General features: G+C 40.6%; 1 protein-coding gene across 19 annotated transcripts in view; it reads left to right on the forward strand.

Annotated features, from left to right (window-relative positions):
- HECW1 (HECT, C2 and WW domain containing E3 ubiquitin protein ligase 1) overlaps window positions 1-22,339 on the forward strand; it is a 453,355-nt gene that overhangs the window by 307,068 nt on the left and 123,948 nt on the right. For all 19 annotated transcript variants that reach the window (NM_015052.5, XM_017011883.3, NM_001287059.2 and 16 more), the window contains one exon: window positions 18,289-18,431. In NM_015052.5, the coding sequence (NP_055867.3) occupies window positions 18,289-18,431 (143 nt within the window). The remainder of the gene's footprint in view (window positions 1-18,288; window positions 18,432-22,339) is intronic.

Consider the following 22,339-nt stretch of genomic DNA (forward strand, 5'->3'; position numbering starts at 1 on the left):
TAGAAATGCTTGTTTCCCAATGCCGTAAAGAAATAGCATTTGAATATAAATTTAATTTCCCCAGCAAGGCTGTTTTTACTTTCTGCAGAAAGGGTACACTCACCAGCAGTTTTGCCACGAGAGTACGCCGAACAAAGGAGACAAGGTCATTTATAACCTGACACGTCCACTCTATTGCTGTGTCCAGTTTCCAATGGCTGGCACAGGACCTCACATTCTGTATTTGTCCCGATTGGCTAGCAACTTAGAACTTTTTAAAAGGGGCAAAGGCAGAGGAGAACAAAGCAAGGAGGAAGTAACTTGTGGAATGCTGAGAAAGGTAAAAACACCTTCAAATAAGGAAGAGGAACAGGCTATGACCTAATGCTTACTTGGACCAATATAAGCATGCCAGGGCAAATATTTAGGCTAAATTGTGGGAGCTAAGAACATAAAGTACATTGATTTCTTTATTACGGCTAGCAGATATTTAGGAATGTTAGCACAGGTCTTTGAATAAATTTTGCTTCTAAGGGAAGTTACTATTTATTCCTAATTAGAAGGTGAGGAAAGTCTTTGAAGAGGAACCTCTACTTTACTTTTGACATTTTCAATCCAATAGAGGACTTAATATATTAATAATAATAACAATAAAATCCACAGCAAACACTATACTTACTGGTAAAATATTAAAATATATTTCCTTAGAACCAAGAACAAGACAAGGATGCACACTTTAGCCACTTCTGTTTAATATTGTGCTAGAGATTCTAGCCAGTGCAACAAGGTAAAAAAATAAACAAATAAAGTATGTCAGCTTTGGAAAGGAGGACACAAAACTGTCTGTATTTTCAGATAACATTGTTGTGTCAGTAAACAGTACAAAACATTACCCAAACTACCCAAATTAGTGAATTTAGCAAAGTAACTGAATAAATAAAAGGTAGATACGTAAAATAAATCATATTTCTATATGCAAATAGAAAATAAAAATTGTTAAAAGATATTATTTACAGTAGCATCAAAAACCAAGGAATAAATCTAACTGCAGAGGAGGAATATGGTTACACCGTGCACTACCACTTTGCTGAGAGAAATTTAAAACAGCCTAGATGAAAGGAGATATTGTTCAAGGCTTAGAAAAGTCAATATTCTTTAGGTGTCAATTCTTCCCCAAATTGATCTGTGGTTTCAGCGATATCCTAATCAAAATCCTGGGAGATATGTTAATGTAACTTGACAAGCTAATTCTAACATTTGTATTGAAATACAAAATGCCAAGTAGAGGTAAGAGAGTCTTGAAAAAGAAAAGAAAAAAAAAGCAGGACTTTTATACTGCCGGATGTCCAGATAAAATATGAAGCTCTAAGAATTAAATAGTGTGGCATTGGCACAGAACAGACAAATAGCTAATTAAATAGATGAGAATCCAGAAATAGATGCACCACATAGCATCATCGTTTTACGACAATAGTGCTGCTGCTGTATGTTATGGAAAGGATAGCCTGTTCAATATTTGATGTTGGGTCAATTTGCTGTCCATACAGAAAAGAAAGAAACCTTGAATGCAGTCTCACAACATACACAGTCTATTCCAAATCAATTGTACATTTAGATATGAAATTATAACAATAAAGCTTCTAATTCATAAGAAAACAAGTAAGAATACTTTCATGTCCTTGTGGAAGCCAAAAAAATCTTAAATAGAAAATAGAAAGCATTAATCATAAAATAAAAGAATAATTAATTGAATGGCAATAAAATTAAGAACCACCGTTCATCAAAACTTTACATTAAGAGCAAGCCACAGAGTGGGTAAAGATGTTGAGCTATGTCTAGGTGACAGCTAATATCTAGACTATAAATACTACCTCCTAAAATCAAAAAGAAAAGGACAGAAACCAACAGAAAAATGGAACAAAGACTTCAACAGCCACCACACAAAGCGGGGATGTCCAAATGCCACTAAACCTATGAGAAGGTGTTTAACTTATTTTGACATCCAGGAATGAAAATTAAAAGTATGGTGTGATACCACTGCACACTCACCAGTGTGCAATGGTATGGCCAAACTGAAGAAGATCAACAATGATGGCTGCTGGTGAGGTGTGGAACATAGACTCTCCAACTCTGCTGATAGGAGGCAGGGAGCAAGGACATCAGTTAGGAGACATTACAGAAGCCAGGTGGGAAACGAGGAAGCCTGGACCAGCCTGAGGCATGAACACAGAGAAGTGTGGAGGTAAATATACTTAGCCATGATCCCTTGCTTTTGTCTTCTGGTCTCTTTAATATCCCTTTGCTTATCTCCCTACAGTATGTTTAAACTAGGGCTCTGGTGTGTGAGAAGAACATCAAACAAACAGTACAGCGAGCTCAGGGTGTTTTCTAATGCTGGTGCTGGTTGTGAGATGTTGTTAAATATCAGATTGGAGGAAACGTAATTGCGGTTTTGCCATTAAAAGTAATGGCCAAAATTGCAATTACCTTTGCACCAACCTAACCAAAACATTACCAAACAATTTAAACATAACCAAACCATTACCCTACAATTACCCAAACCACTGCCAGACAACTTAAAGAGTCAAATATGGGCATAAACACCAGGGGTCAGGGTTGGGCCTGAACTTTTAGAGTATACTTCTCTTTTTTTAATTGTTTTTTGGTTGTTGTTGTTTTTTTTTTTTTTTGAGGAGTCTCGCTCTGTCACCCAGGCTGGAGTGCAGTGGTACGATCTCAGCTCACTGCAACCTCCGTCTCTTGGGTTCCAGCAGTTCTCCTACCTCAGCCTCCCGAGTAGCTGAGATTACAGACACACATCACTACGCCTGGTTAATTTTTTTGTATTTTTAGTAGAGATGGGGTTTCACTATGTTCATTAGCCAGGCTGGTCTTGAACGCCTGATGTCAGATGATCTACCTGCCTCAGCCTCCCAAAGTGCTGGGATTACAAGCATGAGCCACAGCACCCGGCCTTTAGAGGATACTTCTTGATGCCGAGTGCTTTACCAGAATTATATATACTGGTAGATTGTTTACCAGAGTTACCACATTTAATCATTTCAACAACACCATGAGTAAATGAGAATGAGACTTATTAGAAAGGGAAATTGCCAAAACCTTTTTGATGGAGCAGAACAATCAGCCAGGTTAAGCTAAAAGCCCTGTCACCTGGAGATAAATCGCAGTGCCTGGCCGAGAGTCGTCACCTGGAGATAAATCGCAGTGCCTGGCCGAGAGTCGTGGTCTCCAGGATTTAAGCACAATTGCTAAGTGATTACTGTCATCAGACAGCCCCAAGGCGTTGTAAACAATCTCTGATTGGTTTAAGATAGATCATTCACTTCAGTCCTGACTGATTAGAAATTACAAGATAATTTAATCAGACATTAAAGTGTGCTTTTGACCTGGACAAAGTAAACATAGTGTCATTAGCACAAAAAAATCACATTTATGGAAGAAAATCATTCTCTGAAACGCAGAGCTGGTACTGGTGGTGAGTGTGTGAGCAGCCCTAAAGACGGCATTATTTCCCCAGGACAGCAGTTTCACAAATGATTTTTTAAGTTCCCTGACATAGACAACCATCATCTAAGTACAAAAACCAGTTCTTTTGTTAGTAAAATCAGCTGCTGAACCATTTTATGAAAGGAACTCATGAATGAATCACCAACATGAAAACATAGGGGACACTCTTCTGTTTACGTGGGGTGGGAGACTGGAGGTACTGCCTCTTGTTCTACAGTGATGCCTGAGGCTCATTCACAGAACCTGAGACTCAGAGACACACTGTTTGATATTCACTTGCCAAAGTGTTCCTTGTACTTGTCTGTTAGCATCATTTTTCAACTTCTGAGGACATAAGATGGAGTTTTTGAGTGCAGCAGTGAAACTCCTTGAAAACCATTGCCAATGTCTTATGGAGGAATAGAGTGAGCTGGGCAAGGGGTTAGCTTGGCACATCCATCCATGGTGGTGGGTGGTGAGCTGGAGCCAGCTCATGTGAGCTGACAGCTCATGTGCAACTCTTCCCAACTCCACATTTAGTGAAATCAGCCATCGAGGGAGTATTTACACCAAGAAAATTGGCAAACACTACAGACTGGAGCTGGAACTGGTGCCTCGTTCATTGATTGAAAAAGTTGAAGACTAACACTAAAAGTGACATCCTGTAAGACTGATACCAAAAATCAAAGGTGGGGCTAGAGTCTGAGGAGAGCAGATCTAAGCAGATTTCTAAGCACGAAGGCTTCAGAAAAACAGAAACCAGGTACAGACAGAGCCAAAGGAGTATCTAGAAATGAGGAAATACAAGAATCAGGAATGATGGAGCAGGCAGGTGGGAGAGAACAAAAGAAATTTCAGAGATGGTAGCAGTTGTCTTTGGCATATCTACATAAAACGGCCACAGCAGAAATTCCACTTCAGCCAGGCTCATCTCTGACTGTGATTCCATCCTTTTGGGGGCCCTCTTAGCAGGTCCCCATCTTTGTCTCCATCAGGCTTGTCTTGCTGGAAGAAAATTACTATGCTCCAGTGACAAATCTCAAGTCCTGACAGGCTTTGCTCCGTGTAGCTTTCTCAGCATTTTTCAGGGCAATGGGTTATTAGCCTGGAAAAAAAGTTACTAAAAAAATACGAACAGGCCAGGTGCAGTGGCTCACGCCTCTAATCCCAACACTTTGGGAAGCCAAGGTGGTAGGATCGCTTGAGCCCAGGAGTTCAAGACCAGCCTAGGCAACATAGCAGAACCCCATCTCCACACACACAAAATTTAAAATTAGCTGAGCCTGGTGTTGTGTGCCTGTAGTTCCAGGTACTCGGGAAGCTGAGGTGGGAAAATGGCTTGAGCCCGGGGGGTCAAGGCTGCAGTGAGCCATGATCACACCACTGCACTCCAGCCAGGGTGGCAGAGCAAGACCTTGTCTCAAAAATAAATAAAAAAATAAATAAATAAATAAAATAAAACAGCAGTCTTTTCAAAGTTAAAAATATCAGGAAATATCAATAGAGTTCTTGTGATATTGTAAATTACTTTAAATTGCAATTTTGTCACAACGGAATTACTGTGGTTATGCTATTGATTTCATGTATTATGTAATTATCACTATACTGATACCATGATTAATTAGCTAATCCCACATTTTCTGGGATTTTTTTAAAATTTTAAGCCCAGAATGGGAGCAGAGAAGGTATTATGTATCTTGTAAAAGCTTATGACAAACATTTAAATTATTAACGCATCCATCCTTGACTAAGAGAACATTATATATTAGGGAGGGAATAATGGGTATGGGTATAACTTAGTGTGTTTTTGAGAGAAACATACAAACAGAATTAATACAGCACAAGTCCAGTGATTGATAGAGTAATCAGAAGGGGGATATTATGCAGCCTGCCGGTAATGTGGAACAGTGGAATGGCAAAGCCATAAAGCCATAGCAATGGAGTTGCAACAAGCTTTCAAGCCCAGCTAATACAATCAAGGACATTTGAACAGAAGTGGATATTTTATATATTTACCAAGACACTCACACACACACACACACACACACGTGTACATATATGCAGATGTACACATGTGGATAGCTAGGTAGATAGATAGATAGATGATAGATAGATAGATAGATAGATAGATAGATAGATAGATGCTTTATTGAGCAGTCTCAATTCGGTAGGGTATCTTAATAATGTCTTGGGCATATTCCATAACCTTCTGGTCACTTGTATTTATAAGTAATCCAATCAAGTCTAATTTTATATTCAGCTTACCTCTCTTGTTTCTTGCCCCAGCCTCCTGCGCTATCCACTACAGATTGGAATTGTGGTTTGAGGGTCTTGGAAATTGTCTTGGTTCATTTTCTGTTGCTATAATGGAATACGACAGACTGGGTAATTTATAAATAAAAGAAGTTTATTCAGCTCACAGTTCTGGAAGCTGGGAAGTCCAGTAGCATGGCACTGGCATCTGGTGAGAACATAGTAGAAAGACAGAAGCAGAAGCAAGAGACAAGAGAAAGGAGAACCAGGCCAAAGTCATCCTTTTTATCATGAACCCATTGATAATTAATGCCTTCAATAATAGCATTAATCCATTTATGAGGGCAGAGCCTTCATGACCTAATCACCTCTCAAAGGCCCCACCTCTAATACTGCTAAAATGGCAGTTAAATTTCAACATGAGTTTTCGTAGGGATATTCAAGCCACCGCAGAGAAGAGGACATATATTATTTTGTCCCTTTTTTCTACTCCAGCACCTTTGAGAGAAAACAGAGTCATGGGAAGGGATTTAGAGATCCCCCTCAACTTTTCTCTGCAAGGATTATGGCTGCATTGTTGGGACTGGGATGAGGAGAGACAGAGTCAAAATTTTCTTGCTAACAAGCTGTCTGATGGGATGAGGAGGGTATCTGGCCCCAATTATTGACCAATCATGGGGCACTTAATGACCTGAGTTTTCCTATGAGCACAAAAGTGCCAAATCTGAGGTCACAGAACATCCTTTTACATCTGTTTATATATAGATACACTTTCAAATATTTGCATCCCTTCTAGTACTGAAAACATACAAAATACATAGAATACGGCAAGATAAAATATATTTAAATATAGTTGAGAAACAGGAAACCAGGGAAATGTCTTAGTAAAAAGTAAGATGAAATAAAGTTAGTATAAAAGGTGAATGTCAAAAGTCTTGCACACCCTCCTGAATAACATTAGAAATGACCAAGGAGAAAGGGTCTCTTGATTTCACAGGAGGGATCATATGGATAGCACTTGGCCTGGAAGACATATTTTAGTATTTTTCATACAAATACTGTTTTTGATTTGCAGCTAATTTTATTTGGGATTTCTGTAATTATCTATGTTAATAAAATGTCTTTCATTTCCTTTCTTATGCTTATTCAGTTTGTATCAAAGATGTCTTATCCTTAGAAAATGATTTGGGTAGCTGTCCCTTTTTAAAAATTTTCTTTGATTGGCTTGTAAAAGACCAGGATTATCTGATCCAAGAAATTTTGGTAAAATGTACTTATAACGTGTTCTGGTTACATGATGTTTGATTATCAATTCAATTATTTGTTATTTATTCAGGTTTTCTATTTCCTCTTGAATTAATTTTAAAATTTTTATTTTCTGGAAAATATTCATTATATATGCTTTCTATTTATTTTCAGAATGTTTTCATAGTAATATACCCAAAATATATGCAAAACGTGGAAGCTGTATCTCCAAAATATATAGAGAGAACAACCATAGTTTTTTTATATCTCTACTATCTCTTTTTATTAATCTGATGCCTTGATGTATTATTATAATCTATAAATTATAAGTTTGAAAAAAAGGCCCTGAAAGTTTATGGTTGCTAAGCTCTCTAAGTCTTTGTATATTTGAAAATGTTTTTATTTTTACTTCACTCTCAAATGAGAGTTTTGTGGACATAGAACTCTAGGTTGACAGTTATTTTTCCCTCAGTACTTTGATGTATAACTAGACACAAAATAACAGTTTCCCCAACTATGATCAATATAATGTCAGTCAACCATATACTACACACACAACACACAGAGGGAGGTGCCACAGTCAAATATGGAAGCACTGCATACTATCTTGCAAATTCACAATGTGTGAATTTTGTATAATTAAAGCCTTTGAGACATCTAACAGTAAAATTTCTTCACCCTTTTAACCTAGTACTTCTCTTCAGAGCTCTTTTTCTTAGAATTGTCAACATCACATAGAAACAAGTGTCAGAGATCCTACAGCACACTTATTTAAACATCAACTGTCAACAAATAACTGCATATTTGTTCAAAGTATATCTCTATTATGCTGTTACTTGCCCTAATTTAGACTACTGCGTTAGGTTTCTATCAGTACATAACAAATTGCCACAAATTTAGCAACTTACAAGAGCAGCCATTTATTATCTCACAATTCTGTAGGTCAGAAGTCTGGGCACAACCTGCGTTCTCGGCTCAGGATCTCAGACGCTGAAACCACTTGTGTTCTCATCTAGGGCCTTGTCTGGTGAAAACATTGTTTCCAAGATCATTCAGGTTGTTGGCAGAATTGAGATCCTTGCTAGTTATTGGCCAGAGCAGTCCATGACACCTGACCCTCTCCATCATCAAAGCCATTGATGGAGAATGTCCCTTGCATTGAATCCTTCTCACATTTTGTCCCTCTGACTTCAGACAGGGCCCAGTGTTTTTGTTTTTAAGGGCTGATCTAATTAGGTCAGGCTCACCCAAATAATCTCCCCTTCGACTGATTAATTCAAGGTCCGTTGTTTGGTAATCTAATCATGGCTTGGCATCCAACACATTCACAGGCCCCACCTGCACCTAGTGGAAGGGGATTATACAGAGTGTGTACACAGGGGGCAGGAATCTTGAGGACCATCTCAGAATTCTCTCTACCACATTTATTATCCTTCAGTGCCAACCCCACACCAGATGAAAAGTTTCACTTTGCTTCCTCTTCAGAGAAGTCCATCACTATAACGTAATCCGTAGATTTTCTGCCAGAACAATAACTGGTGTGAGTTGGGCTTTGAGTGTGCAGTCTAGCATGCATAAAGGAGTATATTTAAGCTGACCCACAACCCTGGATTGTATTCCATTTTTGCAGTATCATTATCCAGTTACCACAGGAAGTTGCCATTCATTCATTTTCTCATTTATCAATGTGCTCAGTTCACATCACGTGTGGTTTCTGTGTACCAAGCTTTTCTGTGTTTTAGAGACATTACTGGCAATTGTAAGAGAGAAGCTGAAGACAGGGAGACCAGTTAGGAAGTAATTACAAGGACAAGGAATGACAAGAGCCATACCTAGACCAGTGGAAGTAAAGAGGAAAGAATGGACTCTAGAGTGAGGAAGAAAATTTAGACTTACTGACTGATTGGATATGGGCTCCTGAAGTTTGACCAAGGTTGACCAAGATATACAGATGAGGAGCATCACTGAAGATGACAGTTTATCAACAAAGCACGTGCAGAAGGCAAAGTTAGAATAATAGCTCTTTTCTTCCTTCTGTGTTCTGGGCACTCTAAAGTAGGCACAAGAAGGTCAGTTACATTGCTTATGATCACACAGCAGATTTTGTTCTTAGCTTCCAGTCTGTTCATCCAATCCTATGCTTTCTTTATAGGTGTTTAAGTGAATCATCTCCAGAAGTAAAAGATGGGAGATATACATATGGATATAAATATAGATATGGATACAGACATAGACAGAATACATATATGTGTAATATATGTATGTGTATATGTATGTATACAAATACGTACAGATATATAATATACAAATATATAATATACAAATTTTACATATAATATACAATTATATGCATATTACATATTTAAATACATACACAGAGACCTTGCTTCCCATTCTACCAAACCACAACTAAATATTGATATTGGCCTAATTTGCCATAGCAGTATGTGTAAATAAAATCAATATTATTCTGTTTTGTGGCTGAGGATTCTCATATGGAGAGAGATGGTGAAGGCTTGATCAAAATCCAGTTTATTTGCTCTTATGCAAATATTTCAAGAAGAAATATAAACTTTCCATATATTATATGCATATATATATATATATATATATATATATATATATATATATATATATACATATATGCAGATTCCCTGCAGTTACAAGGCTTACGTCTCAGCAGCATGGTCTCCGGCACTTCCTCCCTAGGATAGAGTCAAACCACACACTACTGGGAGGGGCAGATCTTCTCCCATGACCAGACTCCAAGGGCACCACTTCTTAATGTAAAACGCTGTTACATTGCTAGCGAGAAGGGGGAAGAATGCTCCTGATTCAATTCCTACTCTACTAATGGAGTTGTCTATCATTGTCCTTGACTTTAGGCAGCACTGTTTTTGAATGTCATTTTTAAACCTAATGACTAGTGCCACCTGAACTGAAAGTCACATACATTGCAAGGTTCTAAGGAAAAGTAGCTATAGTTCACATGCTCCATTTGCTTCTTGCCTGCTCTTTCTCCTCCAGGTAGAACTTTTACACAGAAAGCACCATGTCCAGTCCATTTAATTTCCATTAGTAATAAATAATGGCATTGGCTGAATGGTACCAGGCAGCCTCTTGTGAATGAAACCTGTTTTTCATTTCCCCCCTTTATATCTCGCTGCAAGAGAGGAGAGGCAAAGCTAGATGCCAGTCTAACTGATGTCATGACCTATGTCACACAGTTAAGACTAACCTTCCTCCACATCATGAGGTATCTAATCTCCACTTCTAATTGGTATTCCTGCCTTACTCTTGAATATCCTCTACCCCTTCAAACTTAACACAACCCAAATCAAATTAACTTTCCTTACCAGTTTTCCATCCTTAACCTTTTCTGAATTTCATAAATTTGTGAGTGTGCATAAATGAATCACTATACCTCTGTTCTCACAGACTGGAGTCATTTTTTCTCATACCTCTCCCTAAATGAAAATAGTAAGTGAAAATACTTTCTCACTCAGGTCTGAAATTTCCCACAAAGTTTTCTCCTTTTTGATTGTAGCATCACCCTCACATCCATATCCTCATCATCTTAGCTACATTGAGGCAATAATGGATCCCCTTATTTACTCTGCCACAGCCAGTAAAACTCTTTCTACCCACGGCACAATTTTCCTTTTATAATATCAACAATAAAAGCAGATCAAGTTAGTAAAAATTGCAAAGTTTATTGTCACACAAAAAGTATAGATTACAATCTGGGAGACTTCAAACCAAGTGGTAAAAAGCTCCACTAAGCAGTTACAACACAGTTTATAAAGCATAAAGGAGGAAGTATTTTGACTTTTCCCATGATTGGCTGTTATACATTATCGTTTTTCTTTTCAAGCAAAACAGAGCTGTTTAAGCCGATTTGTCTATAGCTGACTGGTTTAATTTTGCTGAGTCATGTGGACAAGGATGGTAAAGCTTACATTTTATGTTTATAATTAGAAAGAGCCTTTCAGGGAAATTAGGATGACAAGTTTTGATTACATGGTTATGGGCAGTTGGCTTTGGGGTATATCTAGACTGTGGCCTCCATTTTTATTTTTCTTTATTATTATTATTATTATTGAGATGGAGTCTCGCTCTGTCCCCCAGGCTGGAGTGCAGTGGGGTGATCTCGGCTCACCACAACCTCTGCCTCCTGGGTTCAAGCAATTCTCCTGCCTCAGCCTCCCAAGTAGCTGGGATTACAGGCGCATGCCACTATGCCTGGCTAATTTTTGTATTTTTAGTAGAGAGGGGGTTTTCCCATGTTGGCCAGGCTGGTCTCCAACTTCTGAGCATTCCTCCTGCCTCAGCCTCCCGAAGTGCTGGGATTACAGGCATGAGCCACCACATCCAGCCCCATTTTTATTTTTCTTTAACAATGTCTTTAACATTTCTCCAGATGATCAAGGTCTACATGAATGACTCATAGTTTCCTTGACCACTCCAATCTCTTTGACCTTCAATTACATTCACCATGAGCCATCTATTCCTGCACTTATACCGTAGAACTTGTTGAAATATCACAAGCTCTCCAGCCCTGTACAGTCTTCTATCCTTCCATGCCCAGGCCTCTATTTCCATCATTCTGTTCCTTCATTGCTTTGGGACACTCAGTCATTCAGCCCCTCTCTGCATTCCTAGCTATGTCACTCCTCCCACATGCCCTCAATCTTGGGAATCCAGGCTCGGGAATTTGTGACCTCTTCCTCTCCCACATTCCATAGCTCTCACTGACATTTAACCAGTCCACACTCTGCCACCCTTTTCTCCTTGCCTGCTAGTCTCCCCACCACTTTGCACTTATCTTACCTGATCTGCCTCCTCCAGGCCTGACCCATCTATGGGCCACCCCTCAGCACTGCCTCAGTGGCTTCTCTACACTGCAGATCTGAGTGTGTCATTTGCATGGTGCAGATCCTTTAGTTGCTCCCAGATGCCTTCAGGATAAGTCCAAGCTGTGGCCAGGAGGCTGTTCATGATCTGGATTCTGCATATCTATTCAGTTTCATCCACAACAAGATTCTCCAGTATGACCCAGAGGTAGTAAGCCACTTGCAGTTCCCCAAGGGACTCATGTACTCTGTGAACTTCAGCCCCTGCCCATGGCACCCCTCTACCTGGAATGTTCCTCCCACCCCTTCTTCATCCCACCGACACTTGCTTTTTTTTTTTTTTGAGATGGAGTCTCACTCTGTCACCCAATGTTCAAGCAATTTTCCTGCCTCAGCCTCCCAAGTAGGTGGGATTACAGGCACCTGCCACCATGCCTGGCTAATTTTTGTAGTTTTTAGTAGAGATGGGGGTTTCACCATCTTGGCCAGGCTTGTCTTGAACTCTTAACCTTGTGATCTACCCACCTCGGCCTTCCAAAGTGCTGGGATTACAGGCATGAGCCACTGCACCCGGCCAGTTGTTTATTTTATTTCTTTTTTTTTTTTGAGACGGAGTCTCGCTCTGTCGCCCGGGCTGGAGTGCAGTGGCGGGATCTCGGCTCACTGCAAGCTCCGCCTCCCGGGTTCACGCCATTCTCCTGCCTCAGCCTCCCAAGTAGCTGGGACTACAGGCGCCCGCCACTACACCCGGCTAATTTTTTGTATTTTTAGTAGAGACGGGGTTTCACCGTTTTAGCCGGGATGGTCTCGATCTCCTGACCTCGTGATCCGCCCGCCTCGGCCTCCCAAAGTGCTGGGATTACAGGTGTGAGCCACCGCGCCCGGCCCAGTTGTTTATTTTTTAAGACTCAGTTAAAGCATTATGTTCTCTAGGAAATCGTCTCTACCTGTCCATCAGGCTGAGCCTTTGGGAAGCCTTACTATAGCATCTTCTGCTTTGTCATTTTCTGCCTGCAGTGTAAGACTCTGAGGTCTAAAGTTGGAGGCTGTGGCCCCAGCACTCCAGCACAGAAGGGTGGTAGCTGTGTCCCAGCACCCAGCTCACAGCCAGTGCCCAAAAAGTGTTTATGAATGAATGGATACAACTTTCCCCTCCTTTATTTACCAACACTCTCCTAATCTCTGCCTAAATTGCTCATTATGCAACTGCTACCAGTTTACATAATTGCCAATTAAATATTTCCTTTAGTTAGTTACCCTGTTTTAATTTCATTAAGTTCAATTTATAAAAGTTCTGTTTAGAGGCGATCTACCTCAGATCTTTTCTGAAGCAAGATGGAATATAATAAGCATCTTAGTTCTATAAATGGCCTATTGAGTAAACAACACAAACAAAATAAATAACATCCTCCTATATTGCAGCACCAGTGCTAATATCTCTCTGGACGATTGAAGATGATAGGAGCACATCAGTGGTTTTCAACAAGGGTGATTTTGTCTCCCCAAAGGACATGAGGCAATGTCTGGAGACATTTTTGGCTACCATATCTAGGGGAGTGTCACTGGCATCTAATGGGTAGAGATTCACTTCCATCTGCTTCCATTAATAAGAATGCCAACAAAAAATAAGCTATTAAACTCAGGTTTGAAGAATGCTTTACAGATCATTGGACTAAATATTTAGGCCACAGAGGAAGATTTAGATTTGGTGTAAGAAATACTTTCCTAACTGTAACATTATTTGATATTAAAATAGATTATTACTGAGAGAACAGTGGTTCTCCACCCAGTTGCACAGTGGAGTCACCTGATAAGCTTTAAACACTACCAGTGCCCTGCTCTCTCAAGGGAGTCTAATATAGTCAAGAATGGGACCCAGTAATGGGTACTATTGTGGAAGCTTCCAGATTTTTCTGAGAACCAAGGCTAAGACCCACTGGTCAAAGCAAAAGTAAGCATCCCAACATCTGCGCTTAAACAAAAGAAAGTTTACTTTTAGGCAGAAGGGTGCGTGACCCTGTAGGAATACCATATGCATCATTCTTGCTCATAGTGGCCCCAGCGGTGGGCCTTGTACAGCTGTCTTCCTGCTGTTGCTGCTCAGTTGAAAAGGCCTGACAGTTCAGTCCTAAAGTGAAGCCAAGAAAGAGAATTCAGACTCTGATGCTCTGATGAAGAAATGACCTATGGAACTTTCTTTTCTGACCCGAGTGCCAGTAGACTTTTGTTTAGGACAGTTTCACAGCTTGTGAGAAGATGAGGAGCCATTTATTCATTGGTTGGCCCAAGCATGTGTTACAGTTGCTCTGAAAAGCTCAGATCAAAAGGTAAAGGACAAAGATGGAAAATAGCCAGACATCAGACCCCCAAGGATGCCCAGGATTGGCTTTGTCATTTCCACACTGGTTTTCTTTCACTGGTGAAGTAAGATGCAAAGAGATAAAATTCCCAAACCAGCAGAGGGCTTAGGCAACAATACATCCTTTTTTTTAAAAAAAAACAAAAAACCTTTTGCAGATATAGTTCACAAATTTATCTTTTAACCAAGTGGCCGTTTCTCTGGAAACAAAGAGTGTGCCTTAGTAATAGGACAATCATAGATTTTGTCTGCATACTAAGCATTTGAAATAGGCCTACAGATTACTACAAACAGCTGTATAGGATTAGTGGCCATTAAGGGCCAGCTGAAATGAGTTAGTAAACTTAAGAAAGTTCAATAACCAGAGAGTCAAAAGGAGAAGGTGATAGTAAATCATGAGGCAGGTGGGGTCTGGATAGAATAGGAATGGAGAGGGAAGAAATTTGGTCTAACATGGCGTGGGCCTTCTTTTCCCATTCTACAGGTGAAGATGCTGAGGTTTGGAGAGGTTGTGAATAACAGAGTCCAGAACTTGGATGTGCAGAGCTAGGAATAAAGCCAAGTTTATCTCACTCCAAAGGTTCTTTAGAGGCTTGAAGTAAAGGCCAAGTCAGGGTAGCCAGGTGAAATCCATGTACTGGCTTGAGGCTCATGGGTGCAAGTAGCTGGTCCACAAACAGACAGACTTTTACATTTTCAGGACTACTCACTAGTTCTTAACAGAGCCTGACCTAGCTGGGGGTCTACATGGACTCCAGTAACCATGGCATGGAGAAAAGGGCCTGGTGGGGAGAGAGGTTGATGTCTGGGATGAAGGGATGGGTGTGTGAAGAGAGTTTAAGAAGAAAGTTCTTGTGGAGGGAGGAAAGAACCCAGAAGCTCCCACTAAGTTTCATAATATATTTTGATAAGCTAGCTTCAGTGTCCCATGTAGGCTACTGTAGGTAGAAATAGTCTCATTTTAATAAAGGTGATTACGTTTTTCCTTGTGAAAATAATAAGTGTTCATTATAGAAAGTGTGGAAAATACAGAAAAAGGAAATGGGGGAAAATATATTCTTACTTGGTAAAACAACTGTTATAAAATCTGTTGTAATTTTTTCCAGTCTTTTTCTATTCATATAATTCATATTATTGTGATCATGAATTGTATTTGTCCTGTTTGTGTTACTTAACACTGCAAAACAAGCATTTCCCATCTTATTAGCATTTAGTGTTACATGTAATTATATATATTTATATATAAATTATTATAATTTAGAAAAGTTAAACTATTATATGTGCATATCACCTATACCTAACCTATTGTTGGGTATTTAGATTAGAAGATATATTATAATACACTCCAGAATGGAATAACTGGACCAAAGATATAGAAGTTTTAAGGACCTGAGACAATCAGCAGGGCTGGATTCTCACTTAGGAAGGCCTTTTTAGAGTAGTACCTATTCCTGGGTTGGATTCTCAAACTTGACATGTCCATAACTCAGTTTTCTCAGTACTGGGAATGATTAGTTCTTAGGAGTTATATAGGAGTTAACTAAAACTGATTTATAATAGCAATCAGACGTACCACATGGTCACTGTGGAACTCGTTAGTTCTGTTTGTCAAATATTTCTGTGGTCCATCTCCCAGGCACCTTATAGGATTATACTTCCTGCTCCCTGAGGGTGGCTGGGGCCTGTGTCTAGTTCTGAGGAGCTATGTTTGGAAGTGAACACTTATTTACAGGGGGAGCTCTTTTTGCCTCTGTCACTGTAACTGGCAATGCTTGAGAGGGTGGCTGCTCCATCAGCCCACAGTGAGAATGTGAGCAAGAAATACAACTTGAAGCCCCTGAGACTTGGAAGTTGGCTGTTAGTGCAGCATGCCCTAGCTCATCCTGACTGCCACAAAGAAGATACTCACATTAGCATGCCCAACATATTTAATCTCTGTAAATAGAAATCAACTAAAGTTAAAAGATTGCTAGGCCGGGCGTGGTGGCTCACGCCTGTAATCCCAGCACTTTGGGAGGCCGAGGCAGGCGGATCACGAGGTCAGGAGATGGAGACCATCCTGGCTAACACAGTGAAACGCTGTCTGTACTAAAAATACAAAAAATTAGCTGGACGTGGTGGCAGATGCCTATAGTCCCAGCTACTCGGGAGGTTGAGGCAGGAGAATGGCGTGAACCTGGGAGGCAGAGCTTGCAGTGAGCCAAGATTGTGCCACTGCACTCCAGCCTGGGCAAGAGAACTAGACTTTGTCTCAAAAAAAAAAAAAAAAAAAAAAGGATTGCTGTTAGGATTCATCAGAATAAAAGAAAAATATGTATTTATTTCAGGTGTTTCACAGCCCTTGATTAAGGGGACTGTAACATTCAATGTTAATTAAGACTTCCTCTTCCCAGGTAGTTTGGGCTGGGCAATGCCAACATTTACCTTCCCGAGTCTCCTTTTTACACTTTTAATTTTCACGTGTGTTCATGTGAAGAGACCACCAAACAGGCTTTGTCTGAGCAATAAAGCTTTTTAATCACCTGGGCGCAGGCAGGCTGAGTCCGAAAAGGGAGTCAGCGAAGGGAGATATGGGTGGGGCTGTTTTACAGGATTTGGGTAGACAGTGGAAAATTATAGTCAAAGGAGGTTGTTCTCTGGCAGGCAGGGGTGGGGGTCACAAGGTGCTCAGTGGGGGAGCTTCTGAGCCAGGAGAAGGAATTTCACAAGGTAATGTCATCAGTTAAGGCAGGAACAGGCCATTTTCACTTCTTTTGTGATTTTTCAGTTACTTCAGGCCATCTGGATGTATACGTGCAGATCACAGGGGATATGATGGCTTAGCTTGGGCTCTGAGGCCTGACATTCATGTTGACCAAGCCAACTTCTGATGGTCACGGTCTTCCTTTAATTGGTATTGTTTTATTTTAAAAGTCACACCATACACTATTTAACAAACAAGTACTTTTTAAAATTTTTGTGTATATTGTTTTGAGATGGAGTCTCACTCTGTCACCCAGGCTGGAGTCCAGTAGTGCAATCTCAGCTCACTGCAACCTCCACCTCCCAGGTTCAAGCAATTCTCCTGCCTCAGTCTCCCAGAGCAGGTGGGATTACAGATGCCCGCCACCATAACCGGCTAACAAATGAATACTTTAGAATCAAATGAAGTAAAATATAAAAGACCTGCTTTCTCCCTCCCCTACCAGCCCACTTCCTGGACTTCAGTTTGGAGCATCCCCCTCTAGACATTTTCTCTGCAGTTCAAAGTACAAATGAAATCCTACTCTTCGTATTCTTCTGTGCTTTGCTTTTTCACCTAGTTTCTCGGGTGTCTTTTCATGTCTGTGTATGTTGATTCACCCCTTTCTTTTTAACGAAGGCAGAGTTCTCAGTTTCAAAGATTTATCAGCCTTCACTTAACCAGTTTCCTCTTTGTAAACAGTTTTGGGTTTTTCTCCAGTCTTTTACTATTGTTAGTAATGCTCCAATAAACATCCCTGTTAAATGTATCTTTTGCACATTTGCGCAAATTAATCCAGAAGGAAAATCTCTAAAAATATAATTCTAGGTTGAAGGAATTTGCAGTTTAAATGCCAGTAAATATTGCCAGTTCCTTTCCCAAAGGTCAAATCAATTTGCATTCCCACCAAAACAGTGTGAGAATTCTTGTCTCTTCCCCCTCTCAAGGATCCAGGGTATTACCAAACTTCTAGAAATCTCTTCCATCATAATCATGAAAAACCATATTGCATTGTTTATTTAAAGTACATTTTCTTAATTACAGGTGAGTTTGTGCTTGTTCTTTCTTAAAGTATGATAATACCTTCAATCAAGTATGATGAGGCTTTGGTGGCATTCTTTCTCTTTAAAGCATGCTGATTTTACTGCTTGAATCTCAAAGAATAAGCCTATTTTTAAGCCCTGCAGAAGCATCTTGTCGCTGCCCCTCATTTACTGAATAAACAGGTTCACAACATTTCTGAGACCCTTTATATATAGGTATATTATAGCTAGGATGTTTTACAGTGACAGCATCAAGGCAGATGGACTGGGAATTGACCAGCCCTCCAACCTCTCAGTTAATTGATGTGACATATTCTTTCATTGCAGCAATTCAGTTTTGTGTCCTTGCCCACTGACGTGCTGGAAATTGAGGTGAAGGACAAGTTTGCCAAGAGCCGCCCCATCATCAAGCGCTTCTTGGGAAAGCTGTCGATGCCCGTTCAAAGACTCCTGGAGAGACACGCCATAGGGTAAACCTGTGACTGAGATCTTACTATCACTAGGTTCCCACCAACAGGTCGTGCCCAAAGGTGGCCTGTAGGCTGCAATAGTATAGTCTCACAGAGAGTCAAAATGGTATCATTATATTTCCTTTGTTTTTCCTACTAATTATGTTGCCTGAGCCAACATAAGTGTTTGTTATATTAAACAAACCCATCCCTTTTCACTTGATGTGTAACACTGGTTACTTACCCAAGAGAGTAAAAAATCCTATTAAAAATATTAAACAGTATTAAAAGAAGCCCTCAATGGGGCATTTTTCTGTACAGGTAGAAACTAAAGTTTGTTTTACTATGAAGAATATTATTTCATTCATATGCCAGTCTGGTATGTAAGATTTAATCATATGTGACATTTCCATAACAAGATGGAATACTGGGTAACTACTGTAGAGTTTCTTACTTAGAAGACACTAGTATCTGCAGATGCTAGATAACATGGATAAGAATTTGAAAGCATGATTCTCATGGAATGACAGCAATTAAGATGCTCACAGAATTCAATTGTATATGAGAATGGGTTTCTGTTTTGTCTCTTTTACATTCATGTCCACTCATGGTTCTCATTAAAGTGGACTATGACCAGATAACAGCCCTATGTATAATATGTATTTCTTTAGGTAACAGGGACTACATTTGAAAACACTAAATAAAGCTTTCTATTGATAAACATATACTTATATACAATGTAACCCTTACAAAGATAGCAAAAGAATGAGAAAAAAATATGCAGAATTTCCAAGTGTCTTAATTTAAAGTTCTTTGGATTATCAGAAGGACTTTGGAATCACGGATAATTATCATAAAGACATTTATTATTAATTGGAACCTTATGGTGTGTAGGCAGCAGGGTGCACAGAGACCTGCCACTAACTCTCCAGCCAAAGGGAGCTGAGTTTATGGAGCTGCAGTCACGTGTCACATGCAGTGTTTGCACTTGCCATTCATGGTTGTGAGGATTAAACAGACAAAAAGTGTACATAAAGAACCTAGCACGGCCACTGGCACGTAGTAGGAACACAAAAGAAAATGGTATTCCTTGTGATCTTTTTTATTTCATTTAGTCCTCATAATGCTTCTGTGACAGCATTATCACCATTCCTGCACGAGGAAACAAGGCTTCAAAAGGATCAATAATTATGTAAACCCAAGGCTTGTGGGTGGCAGAGATCCGGCCGGAATTCAGACTCACACCTGTGTCTCTCCAAAGTCCGAGGGCCATCCCCACACAACAGGCTTCTCTCAGGGTTCCTAGGACTGATTCTGTAGTTTATTGTGGGCCATGCTTTTCATTTCTCTCCTTCTCTGCCCTACTGGCTGCTCTCACAGCTGTTAGCACCTCTGCCAGGGGGTGGGCTGGAGAACAAAAACAGGGGCTGTGTGGGATTCTTTCTACCCCAGCACCCAGTGCACTGCCGCCCAGCATGCATTAGATAGATACCAGTTCGTACGTAAGGAACAGAACTTCTCTCTCCAGCTCGCTGCAGCCGCAGAGCCCCTCTGCCCTCCCATGCTGAGTTCTCTCCTAAGTCCAAGCTGCCGGCTCCTATCTTCTTAGCACTGTCCCGCCCTCCAAGCCTCCCACTGTGGAAAGGCACATCCCCAGCTGAAAGCAAGTACCTGAGGTGGAAAAGGGTGTCCCCGACCAAAAGAAGGTTAGCTATGATTTTCCCAGTGTTCTTGCCACCCAGGGAAATGGAGAGCACAGATCGAGTGTGATTGAGCTTACACCTCTCCAAGAGGCAACAACAGCAAGCCATGGAGGCGTTTTTCCTCCCACCCTCTTTGATGGGATGATAGACTGCCCCCTGGTGGCGGCGCAGAGCAGCTCCTCCTCCAAAGCCTTCTGCTTCCACAGCCCCTGGGGGCCACTTCTGCAGTGCTGCCTCCTCCGGAGGTGTCCCACCGTGGTTAGGAGCAGAGTGTTGGGGTGATGGCCATGGAAGCAGTGGCCATGCAGCCTGAGCCATGGCAGAACCCCAGAGTGCACCCACAACAAAAGTGAATCCACTTTGCACCGCAGCTTCCCTCTGCCCTCAGCACATGCTCTCCCCATAAAGCCCCCTGCATCCGTGGTTTCTGAAACGTTTGGCTCCACCTGTACTGGCTGCCTCCCTGCCCTGAGATATTTGCACCTTTCCCCCCTGGGCACACATGCACTCTCATTTCCAATCCTCCTTCGATTCCTTGGCCTGTAAAATCCCAGGCTTCTGTTGGCTGTCTGCCTGTAACTCTAACCATCTCACCTTCGCATTGAAGTGTCACTGGCTGTCTTGAACCATTATTTAGTGGTCCTACCTTATGCCCCCAGCTGGACATAAGCTATTTAAAGGCAGGGGCGATGTATGACATGCTTTGTATCAACTGCAGCACCTTTCACATGGCAGGGGCTCAAAAAATATTTGTTAAGTGGGTGAAAAGCAAAAAAAAGAAAAGCCCTGAAAGTAAATGCAAAGCATAATAAATGTAATTTTTGTGCCACTGTCTGATTGTCTTTAGGCCTCCCCTGATTTCAATTAAGTTTTGGGTTCGGGATGTCTTTGTTATGGTCATAATAGACCTACTTCATAATATTGACCAAAGGCTCTTTCTAAACAGACAAAATACTGAAGCTCATCCTATTTTTTTCTGCACATAATGCTTTACTTAATGGACTTCTGAGGAACTCCAAACACTAAATCATGGCTTATCAAAGAACAATTTTTAAGTCGGGGCTTGTTGGGATATAGGTTGTCTCATAATGCCAGTGTTTTCTAGAAAGAAACATTAAAACACTATCAGCCAGTGATTTATCTTTTTATTTTCATGTCACAAACTAATAAATGGAATAAATACAGAGTCATCTGAGTAACAACTGGTTTGGGGCTATGTGTTTGTTATTACTGGGTACCCTGGGTTTGTTAACTCCTGAATATCCAAAGGTGGTCACTCTTCCTATTTAGGCCCAGGTAAGGGGCAATTTACTCTGCTGAAGCTGCATTGTTAATGAAAATATAATAGCAAAGTTTCAGGTTGATTGCCTCTAGAAAGTTTTCTTTTTATAATTAAGAAATTGCTTTGAGGGGGTGGAGGGGATGGCATGAAAATCCAGGGTGGAGACTTGGGGTCCCTACATGTGGAGCCCTGCAATTGGTGTTAAGTGGAACTCACAAGCCAAAGAATTCAGCCCACGAGTCTTGCTCTGCTCCATCCTGGAGCAGGTGCCATTCTGTAGCGCCCACAGACTCTCCAGTAACCATGACAGCATCCTTTCTTAGACATTACATATATACCACAAGATATGCATCTGCTGGCACTGTCCATCGTTGAGGACATATTTGGAAAATGGCAATCTGCACAGGAAAAGCAGGCCAAGGACATCCGTGTCTTTTTTTATTCTCTCTCTCTCTCTGTTTTAGAACACAGGTTGGCAAACTTTTTTGTACAGGGCCAGGTAGTAAATATTTTAGGCTTTGCAAGGCCCACAGTCCCTGTCTAAATTACTCAACTCTACCAATATAGCATGAAAGTTGCCACAGATAATACGTAAGCTAACAAGCATGGCCGTGCTCCAATAAAACTTTATTTATGGACACTGAAATTTGAATTTCATATAATTTTCACATGCTACAAAATGTTACTCTTCTTTTATTTCTTTTTCCAACAATTTAAAATGTAAAAAGCTCACAACCACACAAAAACAGGTGGTGGGCCACATTTAGCCCACAGGCTGTAATTTGCCTACCCTACCCCTGCTTTAGAATACAGACAGTCCGTTCAACTTAACCATTTTTTGCTTTACAATGAATTCAGCAGAAACCATACATCGAATTTTGAATTTTGAATTTTGATCTTTTCCTTGGCTAGCGATACACAACACGATACTTTCGTGAAGCTGG

The sequence above is a fragment of the Homo sapiens genome, chromosome 7, assembly GCF_000001405.40.
Source record: "Homo sapiens chromosome 7, GRCh38.p14 Primary Assembly".
Taxonomy (NCBI): domain Eukaryota; kingdom Metazoa; phylum Chordata; class Mammalia; order Primates; family Hominidae; genus Homo; species Homo sapiens.